Below are 12,752 nucleotides of genomic sequence, written 5' to 3'. Positions count from 1 at the left end.
TTGTATTTCCCCACCCCCAACCCCACCACATGATGTCCACCTGACTCAAGAAATCAGTAGAGAACAGGTGTATATGGTGAGTACGGATTGCTGCTAAAACTGCAGTCCGCTGACCAGCAACACCGCATTACTTGGAATTTATTATAAATGCAAAATCTCAGCCACCCCCAAGGGACCTACTGAATCATAATCTGCATTTTAACATGACCCTGAGGGGATTCCTATTCACAGAAAGTTACAGAAACCCTGGGTTACTCAGTAGCTTTGGGGGAGGTAGTTCGTTACTGGGAGATTTCGTATTTACTGACCACTTCAAATGCGCCAGGATCTTCTCTATATTATCTGCATTTAATCCTCAAGAACTCCATGGCCTGGGTATTTGACCCTCACGTTCAAGAGATAAGAAAACTGAGGGTCGTCTCCATGGAGAGCAGAGGGGTTTGATTTGGGGCCCGGGGAGGTCTGACTCCAAAGACCAAACCTGGTTCCTCTGCCTGGGAGCTACTGAGGTTTTAAAGGCTGCACGACCCTGAGTTCAGGAGACAGGGGCCCCTGGTGTCAGGGCGACAAATTCAGGGCAAAGAAGCGGACCTGCGAGGCTGGCAAGCAGGCTCTCCCTCTTCCTTTGCGCAGGCCTGGGCAGCTCCAGGCAACACTGGCGACTCAGCCAGGGGTAGGAAGCGCCCCAAGGGGCGGCCTTGCACTCAGCTGCCCGGACCCGAGGCTGGGAGCGCCGCCTGGAGCGAGGGGCGAGGCGGCGGTAGCCCCTGACAGCTGCCCTTTACCTCTCCGGCTGCCATCCATGCTTAGTCCTCTTGCAGCCGCCGCAGGGACACGCTGTATCCCCTTCGGTCCTTCCCGCGGCCGGGCCCAGCCCCGGCAGTGGAGGACTGGAAAAGAGGAGCCGACGGGGGCTGCAGCAGCAGGGAAACCGTTGCCAGGCCGTTGCTAAGGGCTGGGTCCAGTGAGTCGCTATTGTGACGTCACGGCGCAGGGGACGTGCGTTCCGCAGCCCCGCCTGCGGGATACCCGGTACTAGGAGGACAGTTGCGGACGGAGAGACCTGGCGGGGAAGGGGCATCGAGCCCCAGTCTGTTGCTCTGGGATCCTGCCAGTCTTCCGCAGAGCGACCTCCTGTCAGGATCCGAGTCACCAGCACCTGGCAGGCTCTGTCCCTGCGGGAAGAGCAGGGAGAGGAGGTGGACTCATCTGGCATCCACGTCCCCTGGGTCCCGGAGAAAAGTGAAACACAAATGTTAGCTGAGGTCAGGGTAACATTTAACCAGTTCCAAATAATTAAATTTCAAAGCAGTCCGTGAACTTTTGGATTAGTGAAAATCCTAGGGGTGAAAAACATCTACATATTTACATCTTAATTCTTAACCTTAATAATAAGTTTGAATTTCCTTTCTGCTCGCCAAGCTTCCCCGCTCCTGTCCCTGCCTCCCTTTTATCGTAAGTTTCAATCCATTTTTATTTATAATGGAAGAGAGCTGCAACATGAATAAGGGGTTGATTTATTGATGGCTTTCTATAATTTGTTTAATTTTGAAGCAGTTACCTTTGAATCCTTGGAAATAACGTCAGATCAGGGTAGGAAGCATTCTGTCATGTAAGACTTCTCAGCCCAAATGTCCATTGACATTTTGGGCTGGTTGTATAATTCTCTGTTGTGGGGGTGCTGTCCCTATGAACTGTTTTGTAGCATCCCTGTCCTCCGTTTACTAGAAGCAAGTAGCTTCTCAGAAGCAGACCCCACCCACTCCACCTCCAATCCTGACAGTCATAAATGTCTCCAGACATTGTGAAATATTCCCTGGGGGGCAAAATCGCAACTCTGTTGAGAACCACTGCTGTAATGAAAAGAGTCCTGGTTTTGGAACCAGATATGTAGAACTTAATTCTAAATTTTTTGCTACTTACCAGCTTGATCTTGAATTAGTTTCTAAAACTTTCTGAGCCCCAGTTTTCTCTTTTCTAATGTAGATTGTGAAAGTTGTCAGAATCAAAAATAGAGTCACATGTGTTAGAAAACCTGACAAGTGGAACTGGAGAAGGCCATGAAGGAGAGTTCTCATCCATGAATGCCTGATAATAAAACTATCACAAAATACTGCGAAAACCACAACCTTGCACAAAGACCTCCACCTTACCCAAAAAGATACTTCTATGAGGACATCTGTCCAGCAATTGTCTGTCCAACCTTGAACTGACATCACCCTTGTTATTGATGCTTGGAGCCAAGGCTAATTACCTCAAAACAATTATGTAATCCTCTCCTTTTTTTATTTTTTAAAAAAACTTTTTTTTCCTTTAATTCCTTGAATATGCAAACAGTTTGCCATGGCACGCATATTCCTATTGCAATGCCCATTCCTGGGTAAATGTCATTTTCTTCTGTAGAGTTGAGGACTAAGCTCTAATTTTTTTATCTTGCCCAAATTCCTATCTAAGGTGTCTAGGGAGTCATGCCCTAGAAACCATAAATTCTTATCAGATGGGTTTTATTTGACTCTATATACCATGACTTACTTTCCAATCTGATTCTGGCATAATATTATGAGACAAGGAAAAAAAAATCAAAATATTTAACCCCAAGATATATTTCCTTGCCATATCTTGAAATTGCCCTGCAAAATCTCTTGTGGGAAAAAACCACATTCTATAGAGAATCTCTTTTCCCCTTTGTTTTCCTTCTTTCCTTTCCAAATCCAGGAGATAACCAACTAAGAGCCAGGCACCCTTTTAGGTCCGACAAGACAAATTTTACAATCTGCTCTCTCTCTGAGGTCTGCTATACTGAGAGCTTCCTCTGCACAATAAACTTGGTCTCCACAATCTTTTATCTTAACCCCAACATTTCCTTTTTATTGATCCCAGGCCTTCAGATAAACTCAACCAATTGTCAACCAGGAAATGTTTAAATTTACATACTCATTGAGTTGTCCCACCTTTCTGAACCAAACCAATGTATTTCTTATTTGATTGATGTCTCATGCCTCCCTAAAATGTATAAAACCAAGCTGCACCTCAACCACTTTGGGCACATGTTCTCAGGACCTCCTGAGGGTCACTCATATTTGGCTCAGAATAAATCTCTAAAAATATTTTACAGAGTTTGACTCTTTTCATCAACAGTCTACCTCTCTGTTGCTTGGGATGAAAAAATGATGCTACTAATTTTATAGTTAAAAGAATTAACAGTGCCTGGCAAATAAAAGAATGTATTCAATAAATGTTAGCTTTCTCTCTTCTGAGATTCCTATCTCAGCAGAGCTGGGTATCAGGGAATTCAGGCTTGAGGGAGTAAGTCAGAAACTCTGTAACAAGGAAGGAGAAATAAATCAGAAACCCGGTTATAATAACGCTTGAACCCCTGTTTTCCTAAAACCCAGGGTAGGCAGACAATGATTCAAAATTGGAGGCATGTTGAAGTGTGTGTGATGGCTCTGTGGCCCCAACAACAAAAGTAATTTGGAAGGATACAGGGGCAGGGAGTCAGATGTTATGCAGTCTATTAGTTCATTCTCACATTACTGTAAAGAACTACCTGAGACTGGGTAATTTATGAAGAAAAGAGGTTTAATTGACTCACAGTTCCATAGGCTGTACAGAAAGCATGGCTGGGGAGGCCTCAGGAAACACTATCATGGTGGAAGGGCAAAGGGGAAGCAAGTAGCTTCTTCACATGGCAGAGTAGGAGGGAGAGAGAGCGAAGAGGAAAGTGCTACACATGTTTTAACAAACATATCTCATGAGAACTCACTATCATGAGAACGACAAGGGGAAAATCCACCCCCATGATCCAATTACCTCTCACTAGGTACCTCCCCCAACATGGGGATTACAGTTCAACATGAAATTTGGAGGGGGACACAGAGCCAAATCATATCATGCAGAGAACAAAAACTCCTTCCTAGGTACTCATTATTGCCTGAAATCCATTTCTAAGATCATGAAGGCCTTTATTTCACTACTGGCAGCTAGCAAATACTTTGCATATAATAGGCCTCCAGTAAGCATTTGTTAAATTGAATTAGAAACAAGGAACCCAAGGCAAACACCCTTGGGATAAGCAACACAGTGACTTGACTCAGGGAAGGTGATACCAGCTCCTCTTAGAAAAGTAGACTTTAGGATGACAAGTAGATTTTGTTTTCAAGTAGAACGGGGGGGTGCGTGATCTGGAGAGGGCAGCAGAATGGGAGAAACTTCTGGAGACCATATTGTCTGGTACCCAACTTTGTCTGAAGCCATCTATTTCATTATTTCCCTTTCAATATTTTGTTCCAATTATTTCAAGAATGTGTGCATAATAGGGTCTATGTCTCTCAAATTTTAGCAATGAACATGTTATCCTAAGTGCAATTTAATTTGTCCTTTGCTTTGGCTCTATGTATGTAAACAAGAGAGAAGATTCTTTCTGGTTGCTATTCCCAGGAAATAATTCATGATCATGGGTGATGGATACAGCTGGTATGAGTTTATTATAGGGTGAGCTCCCAAGAAACACCCTTCTATTGGGAAAATCATCACCAGCTGCAATGGCCTTGGAGAGTAGGCATTCTGAAGACCTTTTGTTGAATATATATGTTTACACCTGAATTTCATGTTCTGAAATTATTCCAATGCTATAATCTTGTTATTGACATTTAGAAATCTGCATATGTGTTTTTGTTTGTTTATTTATTTATTTATTTTTGTAGAGACGAAATCTCGCTCCATCGCTCAGGCGGAGTGCGGTGGTGTGATCTTGACTCACTGCAACCTCCGCCTCCCGGATTCAAGCAATCCTCCTGCCTCAGCCTGCCGAGTAATTGGGACTACAGGTGCATGCCACCACACCCAGCTAATTTCTTTTGTATTTTAGTAGAGACGGGGTTTCGCTGTGTTGCTCAGGCTGGTCTTGAACTCCTGAGCTCAGGCAATCCACCCGCCTCAGCCTCCCAAAGTGCTGGATTACAGGCGTGAGCCACCATGCCTGGCTAATTTTTGTATTTTTAGTAGAGACAGGGTTTTGCCATGTTGGCCAGGCTGGTCTGAAACTCCAGGCCTAAAGTGATCCACCTGCCATAGCCTCCTAAAGTTCTGGGATTACAGGCATGAGCCACTGTGCCTGACCCATATGTGTGTTTTAGACGGAAATACTTTGTTTCCCTTAATGAATTGGCATGAACTAATCAATTACTGGGTTTCTTTTTTTGTATTAGCTTACAGGAACCTCAAAACTAAGATTTGTGCTCAGTTGAAATAAATATTCATAGCCTTTTAAAAATTTATCTCGTTAATTCCCTTTATTAGGAATATGACTTCTTCTTTTAATGGTTTAATTAGGCCTGTCTTATTGGATGAGCTCTAAGCCCTTTGGAAATGGGCTTTTATATATTTGAAATATACAATATATTTCAATTTTATATAAGTGAAATAAACTATATATTTTAATACCATAACCTATAGTTATGCAAATAATATATAGTTTATTGTTTATTCTGTTTTATTATATATTATTATTTTAAGCATTATGTTATTATTATATATTTAATCTATGTCTTTATGGATGACCCTTAGTTTCATAATTCAGAGGATTCCTGGAATTTATATTTGTGTGTTTAGAAAATGTTCCAGTAAATACAGTGAAAACAACAAGAAGCCAAAGTTCAAAACAACATTTTTCTATTTATTGAGTTATTGCGAACATATTTTAACCCTTAAAGTTCCTGAAAGACAAAAATGAAGGAAATTTAGGGAATCCTTAAAAATTATATGTATGAGGGCAGAGTAAAATTATAGAGTTAAATGTGCACTGTGCTGACCTCAGTCTCAAAACAAAATTGCTTAGGTTTCAGTGATTTAAGAATGCTTGAGAATTTGAGCTATTAACTATTTCTCAGTCATTCTCTAATTGAAATAATGTAGCAATTGATTCATCTAATAACTAAATGAGAAAATGGAACTTTAGAGCTTGGAGGTATTTAGAGCTTGGAGGTATGAAATAATGGATAATAATTTGCTGTTTGTCACTAGAGGGGGCTTTAGGAAAGTTTTAAGCTCCATCCCTGTGAGGAAAGCAGCCATGCTAAGGCAATATTACCTACAAATCTTATTCAAGCAATGTAACGTGCAACTGACAAACATTTTAAAAAGTGATTCCAGGGGAGGGGCGGAGTGAGATAGCCGAATAGAAGGCTCTGCCAATCATTCCTTCTCAGGAACACCTAGCTTGACAACTGTCTACACAAAGGGAGTAATCTTCATAGGAACCAAAAATCAAGGGAGCACTCTCAGTGCCTGGCTTTGATTTCACATGACTGAAAGAGGCACCAAAGAGGGTAGGAAAGACAGTCTTAAATTGCTGATGCCATCCCTGTCTCCTCCCCCATTCCCCAGCAGCAGCTCCCTGTTGGAGAGAATCTCTGTGCTTCAGAGAGGGGGAGCACAGCGGTCATGAGGCTTTGCATTAGACTCAGTGCTGCCCCATCACAGCAGAAAGCAAACTGAGCTGTACTCAGCTGATGCCTGCCCATGGAGGGGGCATTTGGACCGGCCCAAGGCAGAGGGTAATTGCCCATTCCAGCAATTGGAGCTTGAGTTCTGGCAAGGCTTGCCACTGTGGGCTGGAGGCACTGGGGCCCTAAGTGAACTTGAGGGGCAGTTTAGGCCACAAGAACTGCAATTCTTATGCAAGTCCTGGTATTGAGCTGGGCTCAAAGCCAGTAGATTGAGTTGGAGGGTGGGACGTGTGACCTATTAAGATACCAGCTGGGGAAGCTAAGAGTGCTTGCACCTCTCCCTCTTTGTCCCGCCTCACCAACCCCAGGCTACACAGCTGATGAAGAATGCATCAGAGTATCTTAATAGCAGAATTGATCGAGCAGAAGAAAGAATTAGAGAGCTTGAAGACAGGCTATTTGAAAATACACAGTCAGAAGAGACAAAAGAAAAAAGAATAAAAAAACAATGAAACATGCTTACAAGATCTAGAAAATAGCCTCAAAAGGGAAAATCTAAGAGTTATTGGCCTTAAAGTTGAGGTAGAAAAAGAGATAGGGATAGAAAGTTTATTTGAATAAATAATAAAAGAGAACTTTTGAAACTTAGAGAAAGATGTCACTATCCAAGTACAAGAAGGCTACAGAACACCAAGCAGATTTAATCCAAAGAAAGCTACATCAAGGCATATAATAATCAAACCCCCAAAGGTCAAGGATAAAGAAAGAATCCTAAAAGCAGCACGAAAAAGAAACAAGTAACATACACTAGAGCTCCAATACATCTGGCAGCAGACTTTTCAGTGGAAACCTTACAGGCCAGGAGAGAGTGGCATGACATATTTAAAGTGCTGAAGACAAAAGACTTTTACCCGAGAATAGTATATCCAGTGAAAATATTCTTCAGACATGAAGGAGAAATAAAGACCTTGCCAGATAAACAAAAGCTGAGGGATTTCATCAACACAAGACTTGTCTTACAAGTACTCCCCTAAAGAGAGCACCTCAATCAGGAAGAAATGGGCATTAATGAGCAATAAGAAATCATCCGAAGGGACAAAACTCACTGGTAGTAGTCAATATACAGGAAAACACAGAAAATTATGACACTGTAACTGTAGAGTGGAAAGTACCCTTAAGTAGAAAGACTAAAAGATGAAATCAAAAATAATAATTACAACTTTTCAAGACATAGACTGTACAATAAGATATAAATAGATACAACAGAAAGTTAAAAAGCTGGGGGATGAAGTTAAAGTGTAGAATTTTTATTGGTTTTTTTTTGCTTGTTAGTTTATGCAAGCAGTGTTATTAGCTTAAAATAATTAATGATAATAAATACAAGATAATATTTGCAAGCCTCATGGTAACCTCAAATCAAAAAACATACAACAGATACACAAAAAATAGAAAGCAAGAAATTAAATACTACCACCAGAGAAAATAAATTACCTTCACTAAAAGGGAGACAGGAAGGAAGGAAAGAAGGGAGCAAAGACCACAGAACAATCAGAAAATAAATAGCAAAATGAGAGGAGTAACTCCTTACTTGTCAATAATAACATTGAATGTAAAAGGTCTAAACTTTCCAATCAAAAAACATAGACTGGCTGAATGGATAAAAAAAAAAATAAGACCCAATTATCTGTGGCTGCAAGAAACACACTTCACCTATAATGACACACAAAAACTAAAAATAAAGTGATGGAAAAAGATTCTCCATGTCAATGGAAACCAAAAAAGAGCAGAAGTAGCTATACTTATATCAGACAAAATAGATTTTAAGACAAAAACTTAAGAAGAGACAAAGAAGGCCATTATATAATAATAAAGGGGTCAATTCAGCGAGACGATGTAACAGTTGTAAACATATATGCCCCCAACACTGTAGTGCCCAGATATATAAAGCAAATATTACTAGTATTAAAGAGATAGATAGCCTCCAATACAATAGTAGCTGGAGACTTCAACACCTCACTTTCAGCACTAGACAGATCTTCCAGACAAAAAAAAAAAAAAAATCAAAAACATATTTAATCTGTGCTATAGACCAAATGGGCCTAACAGATATGTACAGAACATGTTATCCAATGGCTGTAGAACACAGATTTTTTTTTCTTCATCACATGGATCACTCTGAAGGACAGACCATATATTAGGTCACAAAACAAGTCTTAAAACATTTGAAAAGTTGAAATGATATCTTCTGTGGCCACAATGAAATAAAACTAGAAATCAATAACAAGAGGAATTTTGGAAACCATATAAATACATGAAAATTAAATAATATGCTTTTGAATGACCAGTGGGTCAAAAAAGAGATTAAGAAGGAAATTGAAAAATTTCTTAAAACAAATGATAATAGTCCACAATATGCTAAAACCTACAAGACACAATGAAAGTGCTACTAACAGGGATGTTTATAGTTATAAGCACCTACATCAAAAAAGAGGAAAAACTTCAAATAACCTAATAATGCATCTTAAATAGAAATGCAAGAGCAAATCTAACCCAAAAGTAGTAGAAGAGAAGAAACAATACAAATCAGAACAGAAATAAATGAAATGGAAATTTAAGGAAAAAATACAAAAGATCAATGAAATAGTTGATTTTTTTGAAAAGATAAAATTGAGAAACTTTTAGTCAAACATGTAAGAAAAAACAGAAGATGGATAAAATTAGAAATGAAAAAGGTGACATTACAACAGATACTGGAGAAATTCAAAAGATCATTACAGGCTACTATGAGCAACTATAAGTCAATAAATTGGAAAATCTAGTAGAAATGGATAAATTCCTAGATATAGACTACCTACCAAGATTGAATCATGAAGAAATCCAAAACCTTAACAGACAAATAACAAGTAATGAGATCAAAGCCTTAATAAAAAGTCTGGCTGGGCGTGGTGGCTCATGCCTGTAATCCCAGCACTTTGGGAGGCTGAGGCGAGTGGATCACCTGAGGTCAGGAGTTCAAGACCAGCCTGGCTAACATGGTGAAACCCTGTCTGTACCAAAAACACAAAAATTAGCTGGGCATGATTGTGCATGCCTGTAATCCCAGCTACTCAGGAGGCTGAGGCAGAAGAATCACTTGAACCTGGGAGGCGAAGGCTTCAGTGAGCCAAGATCGTGCCACTGCACTCCAGCCTGGGCAACAGAGTGAGACTCCATCTCAAAAAAAAAAAAGGTCTCCCAGTAAAGAAAAGCCCAGGACTTGATGGTTTCACTGCTGAATTCCAGCAAACATTTAAAGAAGAACAAATGCCAATTTTATTCAAATTATTTCCAAAAAATCAAGGTGGAGGAAATACTTGCAAACTCATTCTACAAGGCCAGTCTTACTCTGATTCCAATAACAAAGATAAATCAAAGAAAGAAAACTCCAGGCCAATATCTCTGAAGAATATTAATGCAAAAATCTTCAACAAAATGCTAGTAAATTAAATTCAACAACATATTACAAATATTATTAACCATGACCAAGTGGGATATATCCCTGGGATGCAAGGATGGTTCAACATACACAAATCAACCAATGTGATACATCATATCAACAGAATGAAGGACAAAAACCATATGATCATTTAAATTGATGCTGAAAAAGCATTTGAAAAAATTCAACATCACTTCATGGTAAAAGTCTTCAAAAAACTTGGTGTAGAAGAAACATACTTTAACATAATGAAAGCAATATATGACTGACAGACAGCTAGTATGCTGAATGGGGAAAAACTGAAAGCATTTTCTGTACAATCTGGAACATGACAAGGATGCCCACTTTCACCACTGTTATTCAACATAATTCTAGAAGTCCTAGCTAGAGTGATCAGACAAGAAAAAGAAATACAGGGCATCTAAATTGGAAAGGAAATCAAATTATCCTTGTTTGCAGATGATATGATCTTATATTTGGAAAAATCTAAAGACTGAATAAAAAAACTATTAGAACTGAGATATATATATTCAGTAAATTTGTAGGATACAAAATCAACATACAAAAGTCAGTAGCATTTCTATATGCCAACAGTGAACAATCCAAAAAAGAAATCAAGAAATCCCATTTACAATAGATTGTAAATTTTTACAGGCTAATTTTTTAAATTATACTTTAACTTCTGGGATACATGTGCAGAACGTGCAGGTTTGTTACAGAGGTATACATATGCCATGGTGGTTTGCTCCACCCATTAACCCGTCATCTACATTTGGTATTTCTCCTAATGCTATCCCTCCCCTTGTCACCCATGCCCTGACAGTCCCTGGTGTGTGATATTCCCCTCCCTGTGTCCATGTGTTCTCATTATTTGACTCCTATTTATGAGTGAGAACATGCAGACTCCTATTTATGAGTGAGAACATGCAGTGTTTGGTTTTCTGTTCCTGTGTTAGTTTGCTGAGAATGATGGTTTCCAGCTTCATCCATATTCCTGCAAAGGACATGAACTCATCATTTTTTATGGCTGCATAGTATTCCATGGTGTATATGTGTCACATTTTCTTTATCCAGTCTATCATTGATGGGCATTTGGGTTGGTTCCAAGTCTTTGCTGTTGTGAATAGTGCTACAGTAAACAAACGTGTGCATGTGTCTTTATAGTAGGATGATTTATAATCCTTTGGGTATATACCCAGTAATGAGATTGCTGGGTCAAATGGTATTTCTGGTTCTAGATCCTTGAGGAATTGCCACACACAAATGGCTGAAGTCATTTATACTCCCACCAACAGTGTAAAAGCATTCCTATTTCTCCACATCCTCTCCAGCATCTGTTGTTTCCTGACTTTTTAATGATCACCATTCTAACTGGCATGAGATGGTATCTCATTGTGGTTTTGATTTGCATTTCTAATGACCAGTGATGATTAGCTTTTTTTCATGTATTTGTTGGCTGCATAAATGTCTTTTGAAAAGTGTCTGTTCATATCCTTTGCCCACTTTTTGATGGGATTGTTTTTTTCTTGTAAATTTGTTTAAGTTCCTTGTAGATTCTGGATATTAGCCTTTTGTCAGATGGATAGATTGCAAAATTTTTCTCCCAATATGTATGTTGCCTCTTCACTCTGAGGATAGTTTATTTTGCTGTGCAGAAGCTCTTTAGTAGATCCTATTTGTCAATTTGGGCTTTTGTTGCCATTGCTTTTGGTATTTTAGCCATGAAATCTTTGTCCATGCCTGTGTCCTGAATGGTATTGCCTAGGTTTTCTTCTAGGGTTTTTATGGTTTTAGGTCTTACGTTTAAATCTTTAATCCACCTTGAGTTAATTTTTGTATAAGGTGTAAGGAAGGGGTCCAGTTTCAGTTTTCTGCATATGGCTAGCTAGTTCTCCCCACACCGTTTATTAAATAGGGAATCCTTTCCTCAGTGGTTGCTTTTGTCAGGTTTGTCAAAGATCAGATTATTGTATATGTGTGGCGTTATTTCTGAGGCCTCTATTGTGTTCCATTGGTCTATTTACCTGTTTTGGTACCAGTACCATACTGTTTTGGTTATTGTAGCCCTGTAGTATAGTTTGAGGTCAGGTAGCATGATGCCTCCAGCTTTGTTCTTTTTGCTTAAGATTGTCTCAACTATATGGGCTGTTTTTTAGTTCCATATGAAATTTAAAGTAGTATTTTCTAATTCTGTGAAGAAAGTCAATGGTAGTTTGATGGGGATAGCATTGAATCCATAAACTATTTTGGGCAGTATGGCCATTTTCACAATATTGATTCTTCCTATCCATGAGCATGTAATGGTTTTCCATTTGTTTGTGTCCTCTCTTATTTGCTTGAGCAGTGGTTTGTAGTTCTCCTTGAAGAGGTCCTTCACATCCCTTGTAAGTTGTATTCGTAAGTATTTTGTACTCTTTGTGGCATTTGTGAATGGGAGTTCACTCATGATTTGGCTCTCTGTTTGTCTATTATTGGTGTATAGGAAGGCTTGTGATTTTTGCACATTGATTTTGTATCCAGAGACTTTGCTGAAGTTGCTTATCAGCTTAGGAGTTTTAGGGCTGAGACAGTGGGGTTTTCTAAATATACAATCATGTCATCTGCAAACAGAGATAACTTGACTTCCTCTCTTCCTATTTGAATACGCTTTATTTCTTTCTCTTGCCTGATTGCCTTGGCCAGAGCTTCCAATACTATGTTGAATAGCAGTGGTGAGAGAGGGCATCCTTGTCTTGTGCCAGTTTTCAAAGGGAATGCTTCCAGCTTTTGCCCTTTCAGTATGATATTGGATGTGGGTTTGTCATAAATAGCTTTTATTATTTTGAGAT

The 12,752-nt window shown here is 39.4% G+C and overlaps 1 protein-coding gene across 11 annotated transcripts in view, besides 3 other annotated features; it reads right to left on the bottom strand.

Annotated features, from left to right (window-relative positions):
- SPATA7 (spermatogenesis associated 7) overlaps positions 1–966 on the bottom strand; it is an 84,694-nt gene extending 83,728 nt beyond the window's left edge. For all 11 annotated transcript variants that reach the window (XM_006720205.2, XM_047431581.1, XM_047431584.1 and 8 more), the window contains exon 1: positions 786–966. In XM_006720205.2, the coding sequence (XP_006720268.1) occupies positions 786–804 (19 nt within the window). In that variant the 5' untranslated portion in view covers positions 805–966. The remainder of the gene's footprint in view (positions 1–785) is intronic.
- Positions 774–1,093: an enhancer, noted in NCBI's record as "active region_8840". NCBI's record gives its function as "activates an Ori minimal core promoter by ATAC-STARR-seq in GM12878 lymphoblastoid cells {active_cell/tissue: GM12878}" and the evidence as "EXISTENCE:reporter gene assay evidence [ECO:0000049][PMID:35858748]".
- Positions 1,104–1,173: an enhancer, noted in NCBI's record as "active region_8839". NCBI's record gives its function as "activates an Ori minimal core promoter by ATAC-STARR-seq in GM12878 lymphoblastoid cells {active_cell/tissue: GM12878}" and the evidence as "EXISTENCE:reporter gene assay evidence [ECO:0000049][PMID:35858748]".
- Positions 1,204–1,283: an enhancer, noted in NCBI's record as "active region_8838". NCBI's record gives its function as "activates an Ori minimal core promoter by ATAC-STARR-seq in GM12878 lymphoblastoid cells {active_cell/tissue: GM12878}" and the evidence as "EXISTENCE:reporter gene assay evidence [ECO:0000049][PMID:35858748]".

This window comes from Homo sapiens, chromosome 14 (genome assembly GCF_000001405.40).
Source record: "Homo sapiens chromosome 14, GRCh38.p14 Primary Assembly".
Classification (NCBI taxonomy): Eukaryota; Metazoa; Chordata; class Mammalia; order Primates; family Hominidae; genus Homo; species Homo sapiens.
Note: the sequence above shows the minus strand (reverse complement) of the source record. Positions and strands in the feature narration are given on the sequence as shown.